Below are 27,465 nucleotides of genomic sequence, written 5' to 3' on the forward strand. Positions count from 1 at the left end.
GAAAGAGTAAGTCTGGGCTTGGGCTGGAGTCTAAGTGTGACTCTCAACACATCTCCATCACATCTAGTGGAATCTTGGTGCCAGGGGGTCACCTCATCTCACTCAGCCTAAGTTTCCATCTGTGAACTGTAATGCTGCAAGTCATAGAGAATTTCGAGGGTAATCTTCTATCGTATATAACAAGTCCTGAGATAGGTCAGCTTCAGGGTGCATTAATTTAGCAACTTAAAGAGACGTGTCCCTCTGTCTTCCTCTCCTGTCATCAGTGTCGGCCCTGTTCCAAGCTGGCTTTTACACGCAGACCTAGTAAAGTCCAGCAGAAGAGACTAGCCTGTCAAGCATCTCCTCTTATTTAATTCCCTAGGAGGTCCCAGCAGACGTCCCCTCCTAGTCTCAAGGGCCAAAATGGCATCACATGGCTGTTCCTCAACAAATCCTTGGCATTTACCCACACATCAGCTTAGGGCTATCAGCAGGTTGGCCTGCAGAAGGCAGACCAAAAAAATTGGGGTTCTGCTAACAAGGAACAAGGCAGGCAACCCTACAATATTTGCAACACTCCCTTTGTGCTATTTGACAATATGCACAATGTTCACAATCCCACTCACTTCTAGGTGTTGTTGCTGACTCTGGCAGGATGATAAAATGTGCTTTGCATAAATTTTTGGTCCCCAGGGCTCATTCCATACCTCTGGTTCATGTGCTAGACACTTCTGCAGTCCATAGGCAAACACCCCGGATGAACAGAACATGCTAGCAACCTCTGGGGAAAGGGAGGGGTCAAGCCAGACACAGAGCATCCTCTTCCTGGTCACCGACAGGACCCAAGATCAGCACAGTGGAAGCAGGTCTCCTACTTGGCTTCAGTGGTCAAGGCCAGACGCTCCTCAGAAGTCCCTCCCAGCTGTGTAACTATGATTCTGCTCATAAAGTGAAAATAGTTTTCAACCACTTCTTAGAGTAAAACAAATGTTTAAGAAAATCCCATTTCCTGGCCTTCATCCATATTCTTTCTGCAGCATATTAAAGAAATAAATTCAGAGAGAGGCTGGGAGCGGTGGCTCACACCTGTAATACCAGCACTTTGGGAGGCCGAGGCGGGTGGATCACCTGAGGTCAGGAGTTCGAGAGCAGCCAGGCCAACGTGGCGAAAATGTGTATTAAAAATACAAAAACACTAAATACCGAATACTAAAAATACAAAAATTAGCCAGGCGTGGTGGCATGTGCCTGTAATCCCAGCTACTCGGGAGGCTGAGGTAGGAGAATCACTTGAACCCGGGAGGTGGAGGTTGCAGTGAGCTGAGACCATGCCACTGCACTCCAGCCTGGCCTGGGTAACAGAGCGAGACTCTGTCTCAAAATAAATAAAGAAAATATATAAGTAAATAAATACATTCAGAGTGGCCCAAATCTACAGTCACCTGCCTACATGGCCAAGTCCCATTAATTCTACCTCTACCCTGTCTTTAGTGCCTCTCTATTTCTCACCTCCATCACCTGTGATCTCCCTGTCTCCCTGAGCATCTCACCAAGACTAGAAATTCCTAACTCCTCTAGGGCCTGCCTAAGACACAGGTTGGGTGTTTCATCCAGCTTCCTCAGAAGCCTCAATGTTCTCCTCTCTCCCCTAACCCCAAGAAGGAAGTTCAAGCTGCTGGCAAGGCTCTGCCTCCCAGCCCCATTCTCCCTCTTGCCCTGTTTAGCCTCCCTCCTAACATGTTCTATGTCTTTCCCTAAATGCTTTCACCCTCTGGGCCTTTTCTCCTGATGGTCTCATGTGCTGTAGCGCCTTCTCTGCCATCACAATTCTAGTCACGTCAAGGTTCAGTCCAAGGACACATCCACAAACCCGACTCTGCTGGTGAAGTGCCCTTCCTCCTTGGGCTATCACGCTTATTCCTCTAGCTCCTGTTTCCCCTGCCCTGCATTCTAGAATACGGTTTGTATGTCAATCTCTCTCATCTATCTTCCACACAGCTTTCTGTTCAGAGAGAGAGCCTTATTTACCTCTGGTCCCCACAGAACTCTTACCAGAAAGGTTCAATGTTTGTTGCATAAATCAGTGAAAAATCCACAGCAAAATCTCACCCAGTTTTCTTCTGACTCTTCAGATGTACTCTGGTTATTTTCCTAAATCAACCTACTGTCTTCAGGCATAAGTCAGGAGAGAAATTGCTGAGAGAATTTGCATTTTCTGAGCTACCACATGGAGCAGGTGAGGCAAGAATTACTGACTTCATGAACAGATTAGGAAGAGATGGAAAAACTTTTTATGTCACATATTTAGTAAGCAGCAGGGCACAGAGACTCCAGAGCAGGATATCTGATTCCAAAAACAGAAGACAAAATTCTTGTCCTCAAGAAACTTACAGTCTAGTCGGAACTGTAAGACAAATACACCAAAAGGCAAATAACTTATTCAGAGCGGGGTTTCTCACCCTTAGCACTATTGATATTTGGGGCTAGATAATTCTCCATGAGTGGGCTGTCCTGCATGCTATACGATGTTTAACAGATTTGTCCCCTACCCACTTGATACCAGTAGCACGTACCCTGCCCAACCCTGTTGTGACAACCACAAATGTCTCTAGACATTGCCCTGTAGAACCACTGATCTAAAGCAACTGCCATGTTTATCTCTCAACCACTGCAATCATATAACCTCACCATTAGGATCCTTTCCCTGCCAATTCTCAGACATAGGTCTGCAGTGCCCTCCGGCAGCAGGCTGGACCTTACCCACCCACTCCTAACTTTATCATTATATGATTCTGCCTACATTTTCCCTTCAAGCTGAATTATTTAATTTTCATGCTGATGTCTCAGTAGGACAGCTTCAAATCCTTTTCAGAATGACACAAGGTAGGGGTAAAAATAATCCAATCGCAGGACAGGAGAAAATACACACCATAAGGCCATGTGATTACCAGCAAATTACCCTGTTCTTGAAAATTTCCCAAATCCCTTTTCATAACACTGCCATCAAAGTGTGAACCAAAGGCCAAAGGTGGACAAGAGCTCTTTCAGTCCTGGCCCTCTTGGTTAGAACTGGCTTCACCAAAGAGCTGAGCATAAGCGCTGTCTGCCCAGGCATGAGAATTCCAGAAAAAACTCAGGAGCAAAGGCCCAGAGTTGGGAAGAGCCATGAATCTCAACGAGATTTTCTAAACATACAAACTCCATATTTCTACAAACTTTAAAACCAGAAACCTAGTTGTTTTTACTTTCTGACCTTAACCTAACTTAGAAATAAAGCTTATTTTGGTCAATTCTAAAATAAAATATATAGAGAATACTGTATCCAAGAACACGAAGTAAAATGTGTATGTATGAACAATAACTGACACATCTTCTATATAAATGATAGCTATTATATTTCAATTTAACAATCTTTTATATTTGGTCCCAGGATAAAATGGAAGAGGTAAGTCTTATTTTACCAAGGCCCAGAAGTAGAGTTATAAGTCCAAGAATTTACAGCTAGTAAATGATGCAGTTTTGAACCCAGTCTGATTCCACATTCAAGGCTCATTTCACTACAACGTGACAACTTCAAGATTAACTTATTGATAACCTTAGACAAGTGCTTCTCAATTGGGGGTGATTTTGGCTACCAATGGACATTGGCAATGACTGGAGATATTTTTGGTTGATACAACTAGAAGTTGTATCAACTTACTCTAAGAAGGTGTTTGTGAAGTGCTACTGGCATCTGGTGGGTAGAGGCCAAGGATACTAGAAACATTCTATAACATAGATGACAATCACACAATTTTATGGCCCAAAATGTCAACCTGCTGAAGTTGGGAAACCCTACCTTAGAGGTGTCTCTATTATCAGCCAAGAAAATGAAGACCAAAGTACACCCACATTTCAATAAATACTTCTTCTCCTGTTCTAGCTACCCTCTCCACTTTGAATGGATTCCCTGCCACACCAGAGAAAAATGCTGAGCTGTCTGCTACTTCCCCCTTTAGACTCTCGAAAAACAGAAAAAGTATGTTCATGCTGGGTGCAGTGGCTCACGCCTGTAGTCCCAGCTACTCAGGATGCTGAGGCAGGAAGATCCCTTGAGCCCAGGTATTTGAGTCTAGCCTGGGCAACACTGCAAGATCCCATTTCTATTAAAAAAAAAAGTTATGTTTGTGCTTCACAAAATTGGAGACATGAATATAGAACAAGGAAGCCAGAAAGTGCAATGATGGCTTTACAAAAGCAAGCACAATTTTACTGGCCACTACCCACCCCTCAGGCTTCCGGCTGAGCAGCCCCTGCTCCCAGCAGCCACCAATACTCCTACAGTATTTAAAGGCCTGCTCGGTAGTGATTCAGACCAGCATCATCTCCTCCAGGGCAGTGGTAATTTACCTCTTGACAGTCCTTCTGAACATTCCATGAGATTTTAAAAGAAAGGAAATTTAACAAAGAACAAGTTTAAAAGAAGTTAAATCCCATCCTGCCAGAGTTGCCATATCTTTTTTTTTTTTTTTTTTTTTTTTTGAGATGGAGTCTCACTGTCATCAGGCTGGAGTGCAGTGGCGCGATCTCGGCTCACTGCAACCTCTACCTCCCGGGCTCAAGCGATTCTCCTGTCTCAGCCTCCCGAGTAGTTGGGACTACAGGTGCGTACCACCACGCCCAGCTAATTTTTGTATTTTTAGTAGAGACGGGGTTTCACCATGTTGGCCAGGATGGTCTCGATCTCTTGACCTCGTGATCCACCTGCCTCAGCCTCCCAAAGTGCTGGGATTACAGGCATGTGCCACCGTGCCCAGCCTCTTTTTATTATTACTTATTATCTCAGATTTCTAAAGCACTTAACAGTTTGGGGAGCATTTTTATATCTACGCTCCCAACTGAGTATCACAAGCATACTATGAAGTGGTTAGAGTAGATATTATCATGCTCCATTCTAGGGCTGTAGAGAGGCCCTCAGCAATAAGGGCCACTGTTGTGCTTGCTCTGCCAGGCTGATGCACTTGGCTGCTGATCTGAGTGTAGTCTCTTATTCATTTGTACCTAGTTCGTCACTTAAGCATCTTGACTTACTTATGTTTACATAGCATAAAACTTTTGGCCTACAAAGGAGCTTATCAAAAAGGAACAAGTTATATGACAGTAGAAGAGAGGCTGGAGAAGGGTAGGCTATTCACAAAAACTGATTTAGGTAAAGCATTTTAAAATAAAAATTCTATCAGACCTTCACACAGTAAACTAGTTCATAATAACATTTTTCCTTTCCTAATCACAAGCATCATAATTCATAATTACAATATTTGTCCAGTTCTCCAGGGAAAGATCTGCACAGTACACATCAGGAAATGCTCTTGGAGATCAACAGGAGAAATGAAACTAAAACTCAAGGCTTCGGCTTTCATGCACAGTAAACCTAACTTCATCTTGATAAATTATGAAAACCTCAGCTTTCTTACCTGTTTTAGCCAATATTTATCACATACCCATCATGTGGAAGAGGTTGTTCAATGCAGTAGGGCATACAGAAGGGACTGAGGCAGTCCCTACCCTGGGGGCATATGGAAAGTACCCTCACACCTTCCATGCCAGGCAAAACACACAGACAGTGATACAGCACATCTACCGGGGTAACTCAGGATGAACAGTTTCAAAAGAAACACGTGAACCTAGTCCCTGAAAAATGGGAAAGATGTCACACAAGATGGAAGGAGAGAGAGGTGGCAGGAGGAGAACACACACATGATCAGTTCAGTTTAGTTGTGGTAGTAGAGAGCATCCTGGGACCAAATTCAAAACGAAAAAGCCACATGTTAAAATATCTATTCTCGCTCCTAAAGAAAACGGTAGCACCCTGTAGTCGCACTGCAAAGTAGAAATGAGGAACAAGACAGCATCAGGGTGACCCTTTGCCTGTCAACAGTCAGACAGGCCAGAATCAGGCCCTGGGCTGGAGGAGTCTCCCTGGGTTGATTTCTGTGCTACAGTGCTGTCAGCAGAGTGGGGTGGGGGAGGGGGAGGCGCGCTTTTTTCATCTACCCGGGGAGCAAACACCAACTCCTGCAGCAGTTCTGCCAACAAGGCAGAACTATGACGAAACTGATTACCACTAGCCTCTCTGTATCAGAGTCAAGATATGGGGTGGATGAGTCCGTTCCCCAAGGGTGTGCTTTGGAGCCACTGCCACAGAGCTAAGAAGCCCCTCTGCTAGAACACACCTGTGCCCTATCTGCCCAACCCTAGTTCACCCTGATGTCCCAGCTCAGCATTAATCGTGGATCCTTCGCGGGGGCCCGGGGCCCCCAAACCCTCCTATTTAGGGACCACAATTCCCCAACTGGGGGCACTGTCCCCAGATCCAGAGGGGCAGTAACAGTCCCTCTTGCAGATTTCGGATCTTCATCCTGCCACTGAAAGGCCACAAGGGGGATTTCATCCCGGTTTCACCTTCAGGACCGTCTGAGCACTTCTCGGGCGATGCAGACCAGTGGAAGGCACTGGCTGGCACCAAGGCCCGCTCCTGGGAGCCAGGCCGCGGCCCCTCCAAGGACCACAGGTGGGCAGCGGAAGACTCAGAGCAAGAGCCAGGGGCGAAGATGGCCCTCGCTGCGGTCAACCCGGAGCACGTGCTGGGGCTCACCAGCCTCTCCGCGCTGAGGACAAAGTCCGCTCCCGCCGGCTTCTTGGCTTGGGCACCGGGTACCGGGCGTCAGGGGCGAGACAGGCAGGACTTGCGCGCGCCCCGACTCGACTCCAGACCCCGACCCGACTCCGGGCTCGGCCTCCCGCGACCCCTGCGCGCACTCACCATTGTGGTTGACCCAGGTCGGCTTCAGGAGCTTCATTGTTCGGCCGCCGCCGCCGCCGGGCTGAGGCGAGCGCCGGGTCCCTCAGCGCGCCCGGGCCATGGAGCCACCGCCGCCGCTTCCTCCCGCGCCACCCGCCCTCCGGCCGCCGCCCGCCCCGCGCCCTCAGGGCCGCCGCGCCATCGCCGGCCCGCGCCCCCCTCCGCCGCCACAGCCGCCACCCGCGCTCGGCCGCCGCCGCCGCCACCACAGCCGCATCCCCTGCGCCGCTCCTCCTCAGGCGGCTCCCGGGCAACGCCGGAAGTCACGGCGCGCACCTGCCAAATCGCCCCGGCGGGAAACCGCTCCCCACGCGGACTGGGCCGCCCCGGCTCCTCCGCTGGCAGGGGCTTCGGGTCGGGCCCGGGCGCGGGCGCCCCAGAAAGGGCGGTTCGCCTGGACGGCGGACAGCGAGCGGGGCCTGCAGTTGCAACCCGGGCCGCCCGCAGAGGCAGGCGGGGCCCAGGTGGCGTGGACCGCCCGTCACCAGCTCTGCCTCGCCAGTCTGAGTCCGACTTATTAACTAGCTTCCGTCATTCATCAACACGCGCTATTGGGCATCTTGCGAGCGCCGGGCTCCGCGCCGGCGCCGGAATGCGATCCGGGCTTCGGACTCGAACGAATGCGGGGGACGAGCCAACCCTGGTGGGGGAGGCTGGGGCGGACGCGTTTATTAGAAGATCGGGGCCGTTTGCCTAGACATGAACATTTGGACTCGGAGGAGCAGAGGGACGCCCCCTCGGCCGCTCCGGCTGCACTGCGGAGCCGAGGCCCGCGCGAGGGCGCAGACCGACCAACCGGCTAGGGCCTGACTGGCTAGACTGTGCCCGCTGCAGAGGCGCGCTCCCAGCACAGGGCGGGGACGGAAGGGAGGACCCCGAGCCGCGTGAAACGCAAGGCCCTCGTGTGTGCGCAGCTGACACCCTAGGCGGGGCTGCGTCGGGGGCGGGGACAGGCGCGTCCCAGCCCACGCAGCCGGAACGCCTGAGCGCTGGGCGCCTGGTCTGCCGGACCTCAGCAGGGGGCACCGCGGGCCGGACTGTGGAGGGGCGCACGCCCGGAAGCGGCGAGGGTAGCCATGACGGCCTCCGTGCTGCGAAGTATCTCGCTAGCCCTGCGCCCGACTAGCGGGTGAGTGCGGACGCTGGCCGGATAGCGGAGTGCCCAGGGCGCGTGCGGGGTCTTCGCGACTGTCCGCCAGGACTCGCCTGTGCTCCCTGCTCGCCTCCCAGTCCACGAATATCTCAGGGATGAGCCATCTGGTCGTGACTCTTATGCATGAAAATCTGAGCACCCTGGCGAGCAGCGGTCCTGCTTAAGTCCTCTGTGGTCTGAACGAAAGATTTTGAAAAACCTTCCACGTTGACCTTGCTGTCATATCAAGTAGTTAGAAGTGCCCCGGGTTTGGGAGCATTGCAATTTTTTATTTTCCTGTGAAGTGGGAGAGAATCAGATATTTATTTATTTATTTGAGACAGAGTCTCGCTCTGTCGCCCAGGCTGGAGTGCAGTGGCGCGATTTCGGCTCACTGCAACCTCTGCCTCCCGGGTTCAAGCAGTTCTGCCCCGGCCTCCCGAGTAGCTCGGATTACAGGCGCCCAACACCACGCCCGGCTAATTTTTGTATTTTTAGTAGAGACGGGGTTTCACCATGTTGGCCAGGCTGGTCTTGAACTCCTGACCTCGCGATCCACCCGCCTCGGCCTCCCAAAGTGCTGGGATTACAGACGTGAGCAACCGCGCCTAGCCTGGAGAAGCAGATATTTATACATACTCTTGTATCTTTCAGGCTTCTGGGAACTTGGCAGACGCAGCTTAGAGAGACTCACCAGCGAGCGTCATTGTTGTCTTTCTGGGAACTCATTCCCATGAGGTAAAACTCAATCGAGGGCCTGACCTCTGGGGGTAAAGGTGTCAGTCTATGTGTAGAGAACAAAGCAAGAATGCTGGATGTGTGGTTTGCAAAATTAACAGCCTACAAAGTTTCTCAGTTAAATTTAGGCCGATGCTTTTCTGTTTTTCCAACATTTTCCAAACCATAGATTGTTGTTTGTAATTTTTAAAATTTGAGCAGTTTCTCAAGAAGTAAGTATTCTCCTTGAAGGGATTCTTGTGTGTTTTAAAGGACACAGCTTAAGTTTCTGTTTCTCCATGACCCTTCCTCTTCCCTGCCCATTCGGAGGCCCTGGAGAGTGTGGGGAAGATGCAAGTATTAAAGGTATTTCCATCTGGCACTCTCGACTCTTTGTAGATACTTGATTCAGTCAATCTTGATAGTAAAGGATTTGATTTTTCTTTTTTTTTTGAGATGGAGTCTCACTGTGTCACCCAGGCTGGAGTGCAGTGGTGTGACCTCGGATCACTGCAACCTTCGCCTCCTGGGTTAAACTAATTCTCCTGCCTCAGCCTCCCAAGTAGCTGGGATTACAGGCGCCCACTACCACGCCCGGCTAATTTTTGTGTTTTTAGTAGAGACGGGGTTTCACCATGTTGGATGTTGGTCAGGCTGGTCTCGAACTCCTGATCTCAGGTGATCCACCCACCTCAGCACCCAAAGTGCTGGGATTACAGGCCTGAGCCACCGCACCCAGTCCACAAATCAATTTTAATAGTAATAAGCTTCTAATCTAACAGTTTGGTATTTTCACTTTTGAGTGTAATCCCAAGGCACACCTGAATCCCAGCAATAAAGAGGAACACTTCCCGATTTTATACCCTGATGCCTCTTGTTGCTTTTGTACTTTTTTTTTTTTTTTTTTTTTTTTGAGACAGAGTCTCGCTCTGTTACCCAAGCTGGAGTGCAGTGGCGCGATCTTGTCCTACTGCAACCTCCGCCTCCCAGGCTCAAGTGATTCTCCTGCCTCAGCTTCCCGAGAAGCTGGGATTACAGGTGCGCACCACCACACCCAGCTAATTTTTGTATTTTTAGTAGAGACAGGGTTTCGCCATGTTGACCAGGCTGGTCTCGAACTCCTGACCTTGGGCAATCTGCCCGCCTTTGCCTCCCAAAGTGCTGGGATTACAGGCCTGAGCCACTGCACCCGGCTGCTTTTGTACTATTTCTTGTAATTGATGGCACCTACACAGTTCTCACAAGTACTGTGGGGTGGAGTACCTCCTCACCACGCTGAGCTCATGAGTTAGTCATGCACAGCTCCTTCCCCCAGTGGAGAGGTCAGTATGGGGTACTTACCATCTTGTCTCTCAGTAGGTTCATGAGACCAAAGAGGAAAATGTTTAATATTTGCTTTATCTATTAGATCAGAACCTCTTCGAAAAAAGAAGAAGGTAGATCCTAAAAAAGACCAAGAAGCAAAGGAGCGCTTGAAAAGGAAGATCCGAAAACTGGAAAAGGCTACTCAAGAGCTAATTCCTATTGAAGATTTTATTACCCCTCTAAAGTTCTTGGATAAAGCAAGGTAAGGATCCTTCTCTAGGGATGAAGTCCTCAGGACAAAGGAGTAATATCAACTTCAGGTAGTTGTGTCTGTAGTTCACACCTGTGATAGTCATTGGTCAGTAGGCTTGAGCTGACTTGGCCCTAATGAGTCCTTGCTCCTTTTGGAAGCAGGAGAAAGCATCCTTGGGTGGTACTCTTGAATGGCTCTGGGTGGGAAAGAACCTAAGACATCTAATAATCCAGATGCTTAAGCACTGCTCTGGAGTTCATGTTGTTGCTGTCATGCATGAGGAGTCTTGGCTGTTTCTGATCCCTTGGGCCTGGAGTCTGAAGCCCTCGCCTCATCCTAACAGTAGAAAACCCTTGGCCTCCTGTTTTATCATGCAGATATCTTTGGTTGGTATTTGTTGGGATTCTACTGTGTGCAGGGTTAACAGCTCCTGCTGCCGTTTTGTAAGCAGTGTGCACCATCTATAAAGGGGCAGGTGTTAAAAGTCTTCTCTCACCCAAGGGAGTATTTGCTTGGGCAGAGGAAGTGCTACCAGTCTCCTCAGATCATCTGTTCTTTTGACAGAGAGCAAATGACCTTGGTTCCAAGCATCAGTTGCAGCTGCAGCCACATTCAACATTCCATTTCTTAATTTGTCCCAAACTTGTTTTATCTCCTAAGTCCTGTCTGTGTCTGGCAATGGGAATACTTGTGTCAGTTGCAGTCACAGACTTACATGCCAGTGAGATTGGTAACCCTTAGCTTCTTTGCAGAGAGCGGCCTCAGGTGGAGCTCACCTTTGAGGAGACTGAGAGGAGAGCTCTGCTTCTGAAGAAGTGGTCCTTGTACAAGCAGCAAGAGCGTAAGATGGAGAGGGACACCATCAGGGCTATGCTAGAAGCCCAGCAGGAAGCTCTGGAGGAACTGCAACTGGAATCCCCGAAGCTCCATGCTGAGGCCATCAAGCGGGATCCTAACCTGTTCCCCTTTGAGAAGGAAGGGCCACATTACACACCACCGATCCCTAACTACCAACCCCCTGAAGGCAGGTACAATGACATCACCAAGGTGTACACACAAGTGGAGTTTAAGAGATAGACTTGCAGGCTGCTATCCTTAACATGCTGCCCCTGAGAGTAGGAATGACCAGGGTTCAAGTCTGCTTTCCACAGAATCAGGCATGCTGTTAATAAATACTGGTTTAATCAAAATGCTCCTTTGTCTTGTGTTAGAATTTTTTTTAAAAAATTTTTTTTTGAGACAGAGTCTCACTCTGTTGCCCAGGCTGGAGTGCAGTGACGCAATCTCGGCTCACTGCAAACTCTGTCTCTCTGGTTCAAGCGATTCTCCTGTGTCAGCCTCCTGAGTATCTGGGATTACAAGTGTGCACCACCACGCGTGGCTAATTTTTGTATTTTTAGGAGACAGAGTTTTGCCATGTTGGCCAGGCTGGTCTCGAACTCCTGACCTCAAGTGATCCGCCTACCTTGGCCTCCCAAAGCACTGGGATTATAGGCATCAGCCACCACGCCCAGCCAGAATTAAAATTAATTCACCAGGCCAGGCTCAGTGGCTCATGCCTGTAATCCCAGCACTTTGGGAGGCCAAGGCAGGTGGATCACGAAATGAGGTCAGGAGATCGAGACCATCCTAGCTAACAGTGAAACCCCATCTCTACTAAAAATACAAAAAAAATTAGCTGGGCATGGTGGCGGGCGCCTGTAGTCCCAGCTACTCAAGAGGCTGAGGCAGGAGAATGGTGTGAACCTGGGAGGTGGAGCTTGCAGTGAGCCGAGATCACACCACTGCACTCCGGCCTGGGTGAAAGAGCGAGACTACATCTCAAAGAAAAATAAAAAGTTTATTCACCTAAGATGGATGGAGGTGACAGATGCTGCCCTTCGCCAGGTAATGGGAAGAAGATAACAAAGACATCAACTGCTGCCCTCAAATGGGGAAAAAAAAATGTGTAAAAAGAAGATCCCAAGGGTATAGTGAAAATACCAACAGGAGTCAGAGTAACAGAGGAGTGGTGGGAAAGGAAGTTGCCAGCTGGAAAGGCATGTGGAGAAGCAGGGCCTTCCTGATGGGAAAGACCAAGGAGCCACCTTTGTGTTTTCAGCTGGGGTTAGGGGGAGGCAGAAGAGTGTGGAGCAGGCCAGGAACATACTAGTTAATAAAGATGCTGTGGCCCCCAAGAGGGTGTGAGGCCTGGCTGGGGCAGCGGACTCTGTCTCAAGTGCTTAGTCTAGAATGTGAATGTATTAGTCTGCTCAGGCTGCCATTACAAATTACCATAGACTGGGTGGCTTAAACAAAATAAATTTATTTTCTCACAATTCTGGGGGCTAGAACTCCTGAGATCAAGGTACCAGCAGGCTTGTTTTCTGAGTCTTTCTCCTTAGCTTGCAGATGGCTGCCTTTTCCCTCACATGGTCGTCCCAATCTGTTTCCTAATTTTTTATAGACACCAGTTATACTGGAATAGGGCCCACCTAATGACCTCATTATAACTTTAATTATCTCTTTAACGATGCTACCTCCAAATACCTCCAAATACAGTCACATTCTGAGGTATGGGGTTGGGGGGAGTGGGAGGGTCGTATGGGTAGGACTTCACCATAGGAACTGTAGGGGACACAATTCAGCCTGTCACAGTACAAGCCCAGTGTACGAATAGAGCCATTTTCCCCAGTGGCTTGGATCACAACCTCAGAAAGGATTTTTTTTTTTTTTTTTTTTTTACCACCTTAGTGCAGGTAAACCAGGGAAACATTTCATTGGAATAAGAACTTAGGTTGTCTTCCTAGCGTGTGGTTCACTTTTTTCCCTTTTTTAAAAATTGTGGTGGCCAGGCACCGTGGCTCACGCCTGTAATCCCAGCACTTTGGGAGGCCTAGGTGGGCAGATCATCTGAGGTCAGAAGTTCGAGACCAGCCTGACCAACATGGTGAAACCCCGTCTCTACTAAAAATACAAAATTAGCTAGGTGTAGTGGCACATGCCTGTAATCCCAGCTACTCGGGAGGCTGAGGAAGGAGAATCGCTTGAATACGGGAAGTGGAGGTAGTGAGTCGAGATCACGCCACTGCACTCCAGCCTGGGCAAGAAAAGCGAAACTCCCCATCAAAAAAAAAAAAATTGTGGTAAAATACACATAAACTTTACTATCTTCATCATTTCTAACTGTATGGCTCAGTGGTATTGAGGACATTCATACCATCAGACAACATCACCACCATCCATCCATCTCCAGAGGTCTTCATTGCAAAACTGAACTCTACCCATTAAACCATAATTCCCTGTTCCCCTCTTCCCCCAAGCCCTGGCAACCACCATTCTACCTTTTCTGTGATTTTAACTATTCTTAAGTACCTCACAGAAGCGGAATCATAGTGTTTGTCTTTTTGTAAGTGGCTTATTTCACTGAGCATAATCCTCAAGGTTCATCCATGTTATATAGCACGTATCAAATTTCCTTTTCATGGCTGAATTAATGTTCCATTGTACGTACGCCACATTTTCCTTATCCATCTGTTGATGGACACTTGGGTTACCTTCCGCATTTTACTATTGTGAATAATGCTGCTATGAACACAGGAGTACAAATATCCCTTCAAGACTGTGCTTTCTTTTAGATATACGCCCAGAAGTGGAACTGCTGGATCATATGGTGAGTCTATTTTTAATTTTTTGAGGAAGTGCCATATGGCTTTCCATGGCTGCTGTAACATTATATATTCCCACCAATAGTGCCCAAGGATTCCAATTTTTCTTTGCTGTTTTTTTGGAGTCGGAGTCTCACTCTGTCGCCTAGGCTGGAATGCAGTGGCATGATCTTGGCTCACTGCAACCACCACCTCCCGGGTTCAAGCAATTCTCCTGCCTCAGCCTGCCAAGCTGGGACTACAGGCGTGTGCTACCACGCCCAGCTAATATTTTTTTTTGTATTTTTAGTAAAGATGGAGTTTCGCCATGTTGGCCAGGCTGGTCTTGAATTCCTCACCTCAGGTGATCTGCCCGCCTTGGCCTCCCAAAGTGCTGGCATTACATATGTGAGCTACCACACCCAGCCAAGGTTCCAATTTTTCTACACCCTTATCACACTTTTTTTTTTTTTTAATAGTAGCCATCCTAATGGGTGTGAGGTGGTATCTCACTGTGGTTTTGACTTGCATTTCCCTAATGGTCAGTGATGTTGAGCATCTTTTTATGTGCTTTTTGGCCATTTGTATGTCTATTCAAGTCCTTGTCTTTTTTTTTTTTTTTTTTTTGAAACAGTCTCACCCTGTTACCCAGGCTAGAGTACAGTGGCGTAATCTCGGCTCACTGCAACCTCTGCCTCCCGGGTTCAAACAAATCTCCTGCCTCAGTCTCCCAAGTAGCTGGGATTACAAGTGCATGCCACCACACCTGGCTAATTTTTATATTTTTAGTAGAGACGGGGTTTCACCATGTTGGCCAGGCTGGTCTCGAACTGCTGACCTCAGGTGATCCGCCTGCCTCAGCCTCCCAAAGTGCTGGGATTACAGGCCTAAGCCACAGTGCCCGGCCCCTTGCCCATTTTTGAACTTTTTTTCTCATTGAGTTTTAGGAGTTCTCTATAATTCTATTAATCTCTTATTAGAGATATGATTTGCAAATATTTTCTCCCATTCTGTGGATTGCCTTTTTATTCTGTCGATGTGTCTTTTTTTTTTTTTAAGAGATAGGGTCTTGCTCTGTCACCCAGGCTAGAGTGCAGTAGTGCAATCATAGCTCACTGTAACCTCAAACTCCTGGGCTCAAGCAATTCTCCTGCCTCAGCCTCCTGAGTAGCTAGGACTACAGACACCACCATGCCCAGCTACCTTTTTTTTTTTTAAACTTGTAGAGATGGGGTCTTGCTATATTGTCCAAGCTGGTCTTGAACTCCTGGCCTCAAGCAATCCCCTTATGTCAGCCTCCTGAAATGCTGGGATTACAGACATGATCCACGGTGCCTGGCCTGATAGTGTGTTTTTTAAAAAATTTTTTCTATAAGGAATGGAGGCAGGGTTTTACTATGTTGCCCAGGATGGTCTTGAACTCCTGGGCTCAAGTGATCCTTCCACCTCGGCCTCCAATAGTGCTGGGACTACAGGAGTGAGCCACCATGCCCGGCCAATAGTCTTCTGATGTGAAATTTAGTGCCTTTAATTTTCATGAAGTCCAATTTATCTATTTTTTTCTTTTTAATGTTGATGACTTTGGTGTCATATCCAAGAAACTACTACCAAATCCAACGTTGTGAAGATATTCCCTATATTTAATTTTAAGCTCTTACAATTTCGGTCAATTTTGAGTTAACTTGTATATGACGTTTGGTAAGGGTCCAACTTCACTCTTGGATATCCAGTTTCCAGGCATCAACCATTTGTTGAAAAGACTGTCCTTTCCATAGCCTGGGCGATCCTCTTACCTCAGCCTTCCAAGTAGCTGGGACTACTGCTTTTTTCAAAAAAAAAAAAAAACTTCGTTTTAAAACTCTTATCAGTCCTGGATAAAAATGTTGCCTAAGGATTCTAAGTCCTTTGGCCCCACCTGAGACAAATGCTGAATGGAACCACTTTTCATGACCTCCACTGCTGCCTCTGAGGTCCACGTCATCGTCAGTTTTTGCCTGTTCTATTGCAGTGGCCAACTGATCTAACCACCCCATCCCTTCTCCACACAGCAGCCAGAGGTCTCTAGAACCAGGTCAGGTCAGGTCTTTGGCTACCTGCCACCCAGAGAATCGCATACCCAGATTCCTGATCACAGCTCACAGCACCCGCTCTGGTCAAAACATGGTGTCAGGTCCCTTTGCCTTTGTGGGTCCCTTTCTCTGCCTGACAGGAGTTGAGCCTCTTCACCCAGGTCTGGGCTCAGACACTGAGGCCTTCCCCACCTCCCCGCCCAAGGTAAGTGTCCAGCACAGGTGCTTGATAGCAGTGTTTTTTTTTAAACAGTAGGTTTCATCTGTTAGGTTGTAAAATCAGTTTGGTAGGTCATGGCCGACAGTTTGTTTTCAACTTTTTATTTTGAAGTAATTATAGATTCACAGGAGGTTGCATAGGAGGTTGTCTAGGGAGGTCCTGGGTACCCTTGCCCCAGCCTCCCCCAATGTTAACACCTTATACACTACAGCACAGCATCAGGACGCAGAAATTGACATTGGTACAGTCTACAGAACATACTCAGTTTCCCCAGTTACATCTGTACTCCTTTGTGTACCTAACTCTACACAATTTTAACTTCATGTATAGCCCTGTGTAACCACCAGTCAGGCTGACAGATGGTTTTCAACACCACAGGACTCCCTCGTATGAACCACCCCCTCACCATCCCTAACCTAAACCCCTGGTAACCTTTAATCTGTTTTCCATCTCTATAATTACATTATTTCACCAATGTTACATAAATGGAATCCTGCTACATGTATGTTTTCAAGATTGGCTGTTTTTGCTCTGAAGAATTTCCTTGAGTTTCATCTGAGTTGCTGTGTGTACAGCAGTTACTGAAAATGGCACTATATCACATACAGTACGGATACATATTGTTTTGTATTTCAACAATAATATGCTATATATAACAGTCTATGCCAGATAATAATGTAAAATACTTATTATTAATATGGGGTTTTATCCAAAACATTTATTTTTATTTTTAAAACATTTATTTAGAGATGGGGTCTTGCTCTGTTGCCCAGGCTGGAGTGCAGTGGCACGATCATAGCTGACTGCAACCTCAAACTCCTATCCTCAAGTGATTCTTCTGCCTCAGCCTCCCAAGTAGCTGAGATTACAGGTGTGAGCCACCACACTTAGCACCTGTCCAAAAAGTTTGAAAGATATTGCTCTTATTACAGTATTTGTTTTCTTCATACCACCACCATAAAATACCAAACTGCTTCAGAAATTACCACCATTTTATTTTTATTTATTTTGAGACAGGATATTGCTCTGTCACCCAGGTTGAAGTGCAGTGGGGCACAATCATGGCTCACTGCAGCCTCAAACTCCTGGGCTCAAACAATCCTCCTATCTCAGCCTCCGAAGTAGCTGGAACTACAAATGCACGCCACCATGCATAGCTCATTTATTTTTTGTAGAGATGGGGTCTTGTTACGTTGCCCAGGCTGGTCTCGAACTCCTGGGCTCAAGCAATCCTCCCACCTCAGCCTCCCAAAGTGCTGGGATAACAGCCGTGAGCCACCACATCCAGCCACCGTTTTAAATTCCTATTTATTGATGTTTAATGTCTGTCTTTTACCCAAACTACAACAGAAACTCTTTGAAGACAACTTGTCTGTTTCAAAACTGTGGTCTTATAAGCCTCAAACCCTGTCCAACATGTGGACACTCAGATGTTGTGAAGCAATTGACATAGAAACAAATGCAGGAACATCCTGTCCAGAGAGATTATCTGTTGATGTGGAACTTGAGTAGTGAAGGAGGAGGCAAAACATGATAGTCACACTACAGAGGCAGGACTTAATGCTTCCTAACAGAGCATGCAGCCGCACAATGCATACCTTGCTAAACAAGCAGGTGGCAGGGAGCGTGGCTGCACTGAGGGGAAGCCCCTCATGGACTGGGGTGCTGGCTGGCATGCCCTGGCTTTTGCTGCACTCTCCAGCTCTGCCCCAGGAACCTGAAGGCAGCTGCTGCAATCCCAGGCATCACATGCAGGCTGCAAACTCATTTTATTATTTTATCTTTGAGACAAGAGTCTCACTCTGTCGCCCAGGCTGGAGTACAGTGGCACGATCTCAGCTCACTGCAACCTCTGCCTCTGGGGTTCAAGCAATTCTCCTGTCTCAGCTTCCCGAGTAGCTGGGATCACAGGCACGTGCCACCATGCCCAGTTAATTTTTGTATTTTTAATAGAGATGGGGGGTTTCAACCATGTTGGCCAGGCTGGTCTCAAACTCCAGACCTCAAGTGATCCACCCACCTTGGCCTCCCAAAGTGCTGGGATTACAGCAGACTGCAAATTCAGATGCCCCGTCCCTGTGTTTAAGAGTAAGAAAAACCTTGTAGATCTCTAGCAGTCTTCCTCTCTTCCCTCACTGGGTGGAAATGCTCATTATTAAACCAGCCACAGCCATGCTGGAGGCACCCTGGTTGCCTTAGACACATCAGTACTCCCCTGATGATGGGGGAACGCTGGCTCCTCTTTAGATGCTCCTGCTCTTGGGATCCCGTGAGCACAACCCCCACCCCCACCCCCACTGTTCACAGACACAGGGGCTCTTAGGGAGCACAGGAGAAAACACACTCAAGCAGGGAAATACTGTTCTTTAATGGACACCCTTCTAACGTGATAGATTATTCTGCCCCAAAGAACAAATTAAAAGATATTCAACTTGCTGCCTGTGTCCAGGAAGAGAGCAGGGAGGGTGCTGGGCACAGACCCAGCCTAGCCCTCAGCATCACACAACAGGGCCACCATAGGATGAGAAACCATTCTATTAGTAATAAACAGACCTCTTCAAGAAATAGTGTTTTTGGTGGTTCATACATTTTAAAACACTTAACAAGAGAATAAGCATACAAATTTCTAATACTGTCCAGGTACAACACTGTTACACACAAAATCTAACAAGTGTGAACTTAATTTTCAGCTTCTATTTGAAATCAGATGAAATAGCTTTTGATACATTAACCACCAGGGGAAATTTTGAGGGAAGGAGTGCTTAATTCCATATGTCTTGGACTTGGATTTCTTCAGCTGAGTCCACAAACCCTCTTTATGCAAGGTTGTGTGTTCTGTAGCTGTGTGCATTTCTTAAAAACCAGAGTCTCCAGGGGCCGACCTGGGAGCCTAAGAAGTGAAGCCTGCTGGTGCAGAGGGGCCAGCAAGCCCTACCTGCTCGGCACACCTGCCTGCATGTGCAGTGGAACTGAGCGAGTGGAGCAGAGTGTGAGCACTCACAATGCTCACCAAACCTGGGACGTGGCAGGCAGTTTCCCAAGGACTAGGAAAGACATTCACAGTGGCACAACTGTTTAGCTACCTCATTATGACCCACCTGTGTGTCCACACAGGTCAGGGCTACCCTTCAGTTTACCTGAGAAGCCTAGACCTCAGGACCGCCATCTCCTATGCTACCATGCCCAGCCTGACCTGGCTGCTCACAAGTACCTGCCATAATGCTTGGCCTCCTGGAAGCTCTAAAGCGGTGCAATTGTCCTGCAGAACATCGCAGTGTCAGGGTATCCTGCATGCAGGTGAGGGGTGGGCAAGTAGGGCTAGCAATGTCCTGCTCCATGTTCCTGTGAGCAAGAGCTCACAGGGACCCACCAGACTGTGTAGGCTGGTCACAGTCCCCAGGGCTGTGCAACAGCAACTTGAAACAGACTGAGGAAGCTGCACAGGCCAATGGCAGGGATGCTTGTCACTCGTCCTTCTCCTGTGGCAGAGGGAGATGCCAGTCTGGAGGGGGGCTCTGCCTCGGGGCCCACACCAGGATGTGCTTCCGTGCAGCCCGGACTCGTGCCCGCTCGCTCTCACAGAGGGATTGCTGTGCAAATGAGACTCTAGTCACTCCCCAGGCTCTGAGCACCCTCAAGACCCCTGTACCTCCCCCCTCTCATCACCCTCTGAAACACAGATGGACAGGCAGGGCCTATGGTACACACCACTCTGCAGCACAGCTGCTTCCACCTACTATACCTTGGCGATTCTTCCATATTAGCGCACAGAGATGGAGATCATTTTTTTTCTCACAAGCTACTGTGAAAAACTACTGAATAGGTCATAATAATTTGAGGAATTTTTAAATATCTTCTCCTGGACCTCAGGGCTCAATGGCTCTGGTTGACCTCGTGAGTCTGGGGCATATTCACCTGCTGAGAGTGAGCCTGGGGGTGCTGGGTGGAGAGGAGAGAAGAGTCTGAGAGAGCAGCTGTGGGGAGCTGCAGGGAGGAGTGTGTTAGGGAGAAGGGAGGAAGACGGGGAAGAAATACATGTCCTGGGTATCCTGGAAGGGTGGGAAGAGTCCAGAGGACAGACCACCCGCCTGAGTGGTGCCACAAGTGCCACTTAACCCATCAGCTTCTCTTGGCTACTGTCTCCCAATACAGACACAAGTCAGTGTATCACAACATGGGTGACCTTTGCTGTCAGCCCTTGGTAGGTATCAGGTGCTATGTGAGCCTCTTTACACAGATAACTTAATCTGTCTACATGTCTGTCTTTGTTCAAGCTCTATTGCCTCAAATAAAATATTTTGATCGTGTTTAAAAAGCTATCAGAAATGTAGTACAGAATATTAAAGATTCCCAAATGTCCATTCCCAATGCGGCAGTTAACAGCTTCCCTGATATCTTTTTTTGGTCCACATTTTAGAGCTAACATGTTTCCCTAAAGATAGGATAATCTTTTGCTGGCTAGTCTACTTCCTGCTTTCTTTTCACTAAACAATACACTGTAGGCACTTTTCCATACCCAGGGAGATGACCGACCATTCTTTTCAAAGGCTATCTGGTATTTCACTTTGTGGAAAAAGCTATTTGGTCAAATGTCTATTAGTGAAATTTAGGTTGTTTTCAGCTTTTGCAGTATCAAAAACATAATTAGCATTCTAACTTTTAACTGTACACTGTTATCCAATTACTTCCCTGGGATAAAGTTCCAGAAGTAAAACTTAAGGTCAAAAGGTATGTATCTGACATTTACATAATCAGAACACCTGACACCCCCACCAACACTGCACAACTACCCAGAATTCTTCAAACCTCTATCAACACCACTTTCTGCTGTTACTGTCATTTAGACTTATATACCTGACACCTGGCCATTTGATTTTTTCTTTTTTTTTCTTGAGAGGGAGTCTTACTCTGTTGCCCAGGCTGGAGTGCAGTGACACGATCTCGGCTCATTGCAACCTCCGCCTCCCAGGTTCAAACAATTCTCCTATCTCAGCCTCCCGAGTAGCTGAGATTACAGGTGTTTGCCACCATGCGTGGCTAATTTTCGTATTTTTAGTAGAGATGGGGTTTCGCCATGTTGCCAGGCTGGTCTCAAACTCCTGACCTCAGGTGATCTGCCCACCTCGGCCTCCCAAAGTGCTAGGATTACAGGCATGAGCCACCATGCCCAGGCTTTTCTCCTTTTTTATTATTTTTATAAAGATGGAGTCTCACCATGTTGCCCATGGCTGGTCTCAAGCTCCTGGGCTCAAGCGATCCCCTTGCCTCGGCCTCCCAAAGTGCCGAGATTACAGGTGCCCACCACCATGCCCAGCTGGCTTTCTTTTTTAATGAATTGCTTCTTTGTGTCCTTTGGCCATTTTTCCATTCTGAAATAATCCCTATATTTCTTATTGATATATATATAACAGCTCTTTATACACACACACGCACATATATATACATTAAAGTTATCAATCTCTTGCTATATAAGCTGTCAGCTTTCTTACTTTTTTTGACTTTCACATATTATGGAATAGTCATCATTTTCTTTTATACAGCAGTCTGGTTTCCACATCAGTTCATCTCTTTCAGATCACTGTATACACTTAATAATGTTGAAGTGTTGATCAGTCCCATTGATTCTCATTCCTTGGCACTCCCCATGAGCCTCGCACCTTTCGGCTGGCTTCTCTCCATCTCCTCTCCCACAAGGGGTCCACCGTAGCACTGTATTCTACACTACAGTGTGGGTGCCAGGAGGGCAGAGACTCTTCTTATCACTCGTGCATCCCCAAGAGCACCCAATGTGGTACATATTTGCTGGACGAAAAAACAACTAGAACCACCTCCTTACCGGTCTCTCTGCTCCTGTAATATATTCTCTACACCCTAGCAAACAGATTGAACTTCTTTTACCCTCTCTCTTTTTTTTCCCCCCTGAGACAGGTCTCCCTCTGTTATCCAGGCTGGTGTGCAGTGGTGTGACCATAGCTCACTGCAGCTTTGAACTCCTGGGCTTAGGCGATCCTCCCGCCTCACCCTCCCAAGTAGCTGGGACCACAGGTGCACGCCACCACACTTTGCTAACAGACTGATCTTTTAAAGATATAAATCGAATTATGCCTCCCAGCACACTTTAGACTAAACTCTAAACTCCGTATCAAAAGGCCCGCCAGGTCCCTGGTATACCGCTCTCCAACCATCCACCTACCCTCTGCTTCAGGAACCCAGGCCTTATCTGTTTCTCAGCGGTGTCTACCGGGGCTGGATGAAGGCTGGCTCCTGGTCACTCAGGACTCAGCAACATCACCTCCTGCGTAGGCCAGCTGATGACCCTAACACCGGACGGCTGCCCTCTTCCCTCTCTAAACCACTCTACACCCCCTCCTCGCTGGTCTCCTCCTTTGTCTTTCACGCCCTCTGAAAGTCCTGTTGATATGCTAATTTACACAATCTCTCAAAAGAAAGGAAGCGTGAGGAGGATAGGGACCCCGTCAGTCCCCGGCTAGGTCGCGGGGCATGGGGCGTGGAGGGGTGGGGAAAGCTGGGCCCCGCAAGGCGCTCCGAAGCGCCGCCCCGCTCCCTCCCGGCGCACCTGGGCCTCGGCGTTCCGGCGCTCCTCCCAGTCGCGGCAGCTGGCCAGGTCGCGCTGCCACTGTTCGCAGGCCGGCCGCTCGCCGTGGACGTAGTAGTGGTGTAGGAAGTGCCTGGCGCTGCGGCAGAGCTTCCACTCGGCGCGGTAGGCCTCGCAGGGGCGCGGCGGCTGCGGCGAGAGGCGGCGCCTGAGCGGGGCCCGGCGGCCGCGCCCTACGCCCCGAGCCAGTCCCGTTCCCTCCCTCCGGAAGACCCCGGTGGTTCCCGGCTCCGACCCAGCACACTCACCTGCCAGCCGCTGCCGTCCGCCATGTCTGGGCGACCGGCGCGCCAAGCCCGCCCCTCAGTCCGCCAGCCAATGAAAAATGAAGAAAACGGCACCTCGTGATCGACTGACAGAAGAACTAATGAGCACCGACACATTCAATCACGTCTTCGCCCCCTTCTTCGAGAAGCGCCGACAAACAGGACGAGCAACCAATAGCAACCGAGGGCGGCTGCGGCGCGCGCGGAGGGCCGGGGTCGCAGGGTAAATCCGGGGCGAGACCTGGCGCGAAGCCTACGCGACCACCGCGACGACAGCGCCATTCACCCCGGGCCAGGCGGGCATCCTGGGCCGCGCAGCTACCTTACGTCAGCCGCCTCTCAAATCACACGGCTCTGGCCAGTTCTTTTCAGCAGCTTTATGAGATTTTCTCAAATCTCAACAATCCGGTATATTTTCAAAAGTACATACTGAGCATCAAGGTGGTGCAGCGAACCTCCCAGATCTGCAGCTCCAGCAGTCTTGCTTGAGCGTCCACTCAGGATGGAGGTGAACTCGCAAAGTAACTGAGATTGGTTGGGCATGACATATGGTGGATCTAGGGTTGAATGACCTCCCCAGGGAACGCAGGCTTGAAGTGGAGGCTGAGAATGCAATCCGAGTACAGCCATAGGCCGGTCAAAGGTATGGAGGCGGTGTGTAGCAGGGGTGAGCGGGGTAGGAGTGGCTTGGATGTCTGTAGTTCTATTCTAAGGGTGCGGGAGACATGTAACATTTACCTTATTCATTTTTCGAGACAGGGTCTTGCTGTGTCACCCAGGCTTAGTGCAGTGGCGTGGCGTGTTCATGGCTTACTGCAACCTCAAACTCCTGGACTCCGAACAGCTGGGACCAAAAGCATGCACAGCCTCACCAGGCTAATTTTTAATTTTTTTTTTTTTTTTTTGTAAAGATGGGGTCTTGCTAAGTTACCCAGGCTAGTTTGGCCTCAAGCGACCCTCTCACTTTGGCCTCCCAAAGTGCTAGGATTATAGGCGGAGCGCCAGTGCCTGGCTGGGACGTTTATAAAAAGGAGCAATGCACAAGAGGCAACAAAGGCAAGTAAAGAGGAGGCTGGTGGGCTTGCAGAAACGCCCTGCAGTACCTATGCTGCGGTTCTCCCACTTCACTGATAACAAATCCTCAGTATCCACTGATACAAATCCTGGGACTGCTGGGCCAGTCCCAGGAATGACACTGGGACAGACTCCCTGGAGGTGGATCAGAAAGCTGCAGTTTTACCAGGGGTCCTGCTGTTGAGGCAGCCGGCTCAAGGACCAAGCCCAAATAAGACACTGAGAGGAAGGCTGCAGGCCAGGGTGCAGGAGTAATGACCAGGATCAGTGCTCCAACTGGCCCCACTGTGTCATTAAAAGGCTCTGCAATGGAATCCATCCTGGTCCAGGCAGGGGAGTGTGCCTCCAGCAAAGGACCAGGCGTTTCACTGCATACACAGCAGGTGTTGCTTAGTGAAGACAAAAACCCAGAGCCAGAGGTACTGTAACATTCTTCATTATGCATAAAGTGACAGTCTGTTAGCTGATGTGATCCTGCAAATGAAGGCTGTCTACCCACCAAGGGTTTCTCCCTCTGCTAGTAAAACTGAGACTTTGTCAGTGGAGGCTCAGGTAAGTCCCCACAGTGCTCATGCCTTCCAAAACCACGCCCATTTCCAGTGATGATGGTTTGTGCCACAGGCCAAGTACTGAACATCATGACACTCATAGACACTCTTCACTGAAGACGTGGATAGACCCTGGGGCCACCATTCTCTCCTCTCTGGAGTGTTGGAGGGGCCCTGACCAGGGCAGGACCCCCATGTCTGGAAGCAGGGTTAGCCCTGGCTCATGGGGGACCCTGCTGGGCTTAGCCATTGCCACCTAGGGATCAGGCAGCCTTGTTTCTTCCTACTTTCTCCAGGAGAAGCCCCAGAGGGACACTTTTCTAATGGTGAGATGGAACACGGAGCACCTGCCAACAGGCCTTCAGTTATGGTCAGAGGCCCAACCACCAGTCTGTGTTAGTACCTAATCAAACATTTAGATTTAGGCTTTAGTTATTGCCTGTTTTTACTTGAAATTCTTGGCTTAGAATTATTCCCAATGGGGCCAGGCACAGTGGCTCATGGGAACAAATTTAAAATAATCAGATTAGCATGTCAAAAGATCTCACGTTATAGAAAGTGAAGATCTAAGACCAAATAAATACTGATAAAAAATACAGGCCAGCAGAAGCTTGGATGATTTAATAAATTAAAATTGGGAGTTGGGGAGTAGGGAAGAAGGAGAGGAACATCTCTTTAGCATTTGTTCATTCTAACATTCACATGTTTGCTTCTCCATGGAGTTGTTTCACTATGAACAGGTTCACTAAGGAGCCAGTTATGTCCATATGAAATGAGAATAAAAGTGCAAACTCATTCAGATCAGGTTCTTCTGAGTGGTGTTTTTGAAAAAAATATGTAAAATAAAAATAGAAACATTCTTTGTCAAATACTTAAATTGCAGCCACAGTAGTGGGACAGCCACTACTTATAGAACACATGTCTATTTAAAGCCTTTTTTTAGGCCAAAGACTGACACCTATGCAATTGATGTAGGAAAAGAAAGGATAAATGAAGAAAAAGAAAGAACACTTCATGTTAGACAATTTAGTCACCTTCATAGGTTTTGACAGAATTAGGGATGCAGAATTGCTCCTGCTGAGGCAGTGGGAGCTCCCCTCAAGCTGAAAGCGTGAAGAGGTGAGGAGGCAGCTATCTACAGGCCCTCAGGGACAGCTCTTTGTCTTTCCCCAAATCAAGCATACAACTACAAAGTCCTGCTGCTCCACTTCCAAGTCAAACTTAATAATTCTTAGGTAACTCTAAATAAATCTTAAGTAACAGAGTATTCTCTGATGAGGCTCGTCCCTGTCAGTGCCAGTAACTAAAAGCCAAGATGTTGCAAATGATTCTTTTATTATTTTCCAATCAGCCAACAGTCCTCACTTAGGGCTTTCTTCCCTTTTTACGCAATGACTGTCCTTCTCCAGAGAAAGCGACGAATCTGCCTCCAGCTTCATCCTAGGTTTGAAGAGAAGATACTATTTTCAGAAACTCCCTGGAGGTTTACAATAAATGCCTTACTCTATGGACTCACGTACCATCCACATTACTCATAAGAAATATCTCAGGCTGGACACGATAGCTGACACCTGTAATCCCAGCACTTTAGGAGGCCTAGGTGGGAGGATCACTTGAGCCCAGGAGTTCAAGACCAGCCTGGGCAACATAGTGAGATCCCATCTCTACCAAAAATAGCTCAGTGTGGTATGTGCCTATGATCCCAGCTACTTGGGAGGCTGAGACGGGAGGATGGTTTGAGCCAGGGCCATAGTGAGCTATGATTGTGCCACTGCTCCAGCCTGGATGGCAGAGCAACAGAGCAAGACCCTGCCTCAAAAAAAAAAAAAAAAAAAAAAGTCTGTAAGTTCATCACCCAAAAACATTTCAGGTCACTTTTCTGTACATGCTTAAAGAATTGTTTTCCCACTTAATTCTGAAATCTCATGCCAATAAACTTCCTGTCTAGTATACTCCCAAGGCTACAGAACTGAATTCTGTAAAAAAGAATTCCATGATGTAGGAGGGCCAGTTTTCTACCAGTGGACATTGTTGTGGTAAGCAGCTTAATGTATTTGCACACAACTCTGATTTTTTTTAGAGCTCAAATTCCTGGGTCAAAGTGTGTACACACTTTTAATGCTTTTAACATATAGAGACCAACCAGCCCTCAGAAACATTCCACTAAGCTATCCTTCCATCAGCAGAAAGAGGGATTGTTTTTTCCCAAACCTTTGAAAACTGCACATATTTTTTTTCACATGCTTTTATTGCTAGTCAGTCTGAGGCATTATCTCAACTTTTCCCTAGGAAGAAGAGGATTCTGGAATGTTCAACACACATCCCTGCACCTGGCTCCCCACTAACTGTAGCATGTTATACCTGCAATAGAGCACTGTTTAGTATTTATGTGGTCACATTCATGTAAATTTGAGTCACAGCTGCATTTAGTCTTCCTTTGCCGCACAGCCTTCCATTCATCCTGGTGTCAATAGCTGTGTTTGGCTTCTTCCTCTATTCAATCACAGCCTGCATTGCATGGAGTTCATCTGTTTTGACAAACCTGTGTCTCCTGGGCCTTCGCCCTGCCGTACCTGGACTGGCCTTTCTCTAGGTGCCGTACATGTTAGTGGGGGCTCCTTATTTCCTGGATTCTATGACTTTCTTATTTCTACCTTATTCCTTCATTTTAGTGAGGAACACCTCCTAGGAGCTTCCTGAGAAAAGATGCATGAGGATTATCTTCTTGTGAGTTCCTTTTTTCTAATCTCATATTTCATTGATAGGCTGGTTGGTATGTTAGTCTGCTAGGGCTGCCATATAAAATGCCAAAGATA

General features: G+C 48.1%; 4 protein-coding genes and 1 long non-coding RNA gene across 13 annotated transcripts in view, besides 8 other annotated features; 2 read left to right on the top strand and 3 right to left on the bottom strand.

Annotated features, from left to right (window-relative positions):
* The window catches only part of HIRA (histone cell cycle regulator), a 101,036-nt gene extending 93,958 nt beyond the window's left edge, over positions 1-7,078 (bottom strand). The window contains exon 1 of the mRNA NM_003325.4: positions 6,785-7,078. Coding sequence (NP_003316.3) covers positions 6,785-6,821 — 37 coding nt within the window. The 5' untranslated portion in view covers positions 6,822-7,078. The remainder of the gene's footprint in view (positions 1-6,784) is intronic.
* Positions 5,545-5,674: an enhancer, noted in NCBI's record as "active region_18658". NCBI's record gives its function as "activates an Ori minimal core promoter by ATAC-STARR-seq in GM12878 lymphoblastoid cells {active_cell/tissue: GM12878}" and the evidence as "EXISTENCE:reporter gene assay evidence [ECO:0000049][PMID:35858748]".
* Positions 5,915-5,984: an enhancer, noted in NCBI's record as "active region_18659". NCBI's record gives its function as "activates an Ori minimal core promoter by ATAC-STARR-seq in GM12878 lymphoblastoid cells {active_cell/tissue: GM12878}" and the evidence as "EXISTENCE:reporter gene assay evidence [ECO:0000049][PMID:35858748]".
* Positions 5,915-6,680: a biological region, named in NCBI's record as "H3K27ac hESC enhancer GRCh37_chr22:19418111-19418858".
* Positions 5,933-6,680: an enhancer, noted in NCBI's record as "H3K27ac hESC enhancer chr22:19418111-19418858 (GRCh37/hg19 assembly coordinates)". NCBI's record gives its function as "activates a minimal SCP1, AML or CMV promoter by ChIP-STARR-seq in primed H9 embryonic stem cells {active_cell/tissue: H9 hESC(primed)}" and the evidence as "EXISTENCE:reporter gene assay evidence [ECO:0000049][PMID:30033119]".
* Positions 6,965-7,364: a silencer, noted in NCBI's record as "silent region_13459". NCBI's record gives its function as "represses an Ori minimal core promoter by ATAC-STARR-seq in GM12878 lymphoblastoid cells {active_cell/tissue: GM12878}" and the evidence as "EXISTENCE:reporter gene assay evidence [ECO:0000049][PMID:35858748]".
* Positions 7,655-7,964: a silencer, noted in NCBI's record as "silent region_13460". NCBI's record gives its function as "represses an Ori minimal core promoter by ATAC-STARR-seq in GM12878 lymphoblastoid cells {active_cell/tissue: GM12878}" and the evidence as "EXISTENCE:reporter gene assay evidence [ECO:0000049][PMID:35858748]".
* On the top strand, positions 7,890-11,420 carry MRPL40 (mitochondrial ribosomal protein L40). 2 transcript variants are annotated; one of them, NM_001318151.2, is made up of 4 exons: positions 7,890-8,204; positions 8,610-8,693; positions 10,081-10,239; positions 10,983-11,420. In NM_001318151.2, the coding sequence occupies exons 2-4, from the start codon at positions 8,689-8,691 to the stop codon at positions 11,305-11,307; spliced, it is 489 nt and encodes a 162-aa protein (NP_001305080.1). In that variant the 5' UTR covers positions 7,890-8,204; positions 8,610-8,688; the 3' UTR covers positions 11,308-11,420. The 2 variants fall into 2 exon arrangements, with proteins under 2 accessions (NP_001305080.1, NP_003767.2); NM_003776.4 differs by having other exon boundaries at positions 7,890-7,952.
* C22orf39 (chromosome 22 open reading frame 39) lies at positions 16,231-23,056 on the bottom strand. Of its 2 annotated transcripts, none has more exons than NM_001166242.2 (3): positions 23,010-23,056; positions 22,723-22,890; positions 16,231-17,039 (listed from the first exon to the last, which is right to left on the bottom strand). In NM_001166242.2, the coding sequence occupies exons 1-3, from the start codon at positions 23,031-23,033 to the stop codon at positions 16,989-16,991; spliced, it is 243 nt and encodes an 80-aa protein (NP_001159714.2). In that variant the 5' UTR covers positions 23,034-23,056; the 3' UTR covers positions 16,231-16,988. The 2 variants fall into 2 exon arrangements, with proteins under 2 accessions (NP_001159714.2, NP_776154.4); NM_173793.5 differs by having other exon boundaries at positions 16,231-19,735.
* Positions 22,252-23,154: an enhancer, noted in NCBI's record as "NANOG-H3K27ac hESC enhancer chr22:19434430-19435332 (GRCh37/hg19 assembly coordinates)". NCBI's record gives its function as "activates a minimal SCP1, AML or CMV promoter by ChIP-STARR-seq in naive H9 embryonic stem cells {active_cell/tissue: H9 hESC(naive)}" and the evidence as "EXISTENCE:reporter gene assay evidence [ECO:0000049][PMID:30033119]".
* Positions 22,602-23,001: a silencer, noted in NCBI's record as "silent region_13461". NCBI's record gives its function as "represses an Ori minimal core promoter by ATAC-STARR-seq in GM12878 lymphoblastoid cells {active_cell/tissue: GM12878}" and the evidence as "EXISTENCE:reporter gene assay evidence [ECO:0000049][PMID:35858748]".
* Positions 22,779-27,033, top strand: UFD1-AS1 (UFD1 antisense RNA 1). Of its 2 annotated transcripts, none has more exons than NR_186687.1 (2): positions 22,779-23,670; positions 26,939-27,033. It is a non-coding gene; the product is annotated as a UFD1 antisense RNA 1 (long non-coding RNA). The 2 variants fall into 2 exon arrangements; NR_186686.1 differs by lacking the exon at positions 26,939-27,033 and adding an exon at positions 23,787-25,450.
* UFD1 (ubiquitin recognition factor in ER associated degradation 1) overlaps positions 25,256-27,465 on the bottom strand; it is a 29,283-nt gene continuing 27,073 nt past the window's right edge. For all 6 annotated transcript variants that reach the window (XM_047441488.1, XM_047441487.1, NM_001035247.3 and 3 more), the window contains one exon: positions 25,256-26,089. In XM_047441488.1, the coding sequence (XP_047297444.1) occupies positions 26,015-26,089 (75 nt within the window). In that variant the 3' untranslated portion in view covers positions 25,256-26,014. The remainder of the gene's footprint in view (positions 26,090-27,465) is intronic.

This window comes from Homo sapiens, chromosome 22 (assembly GCF_000001405.40).
Source record: "Homo sapiens chromosome 22, GRCh38.p14 Primary Assembly".
Taxonomy (NCBI): Eukaryota; Metazoa; Chordata; class Mammalia; order Primates; family Hominidae; genus Homo; species Homo sapiens.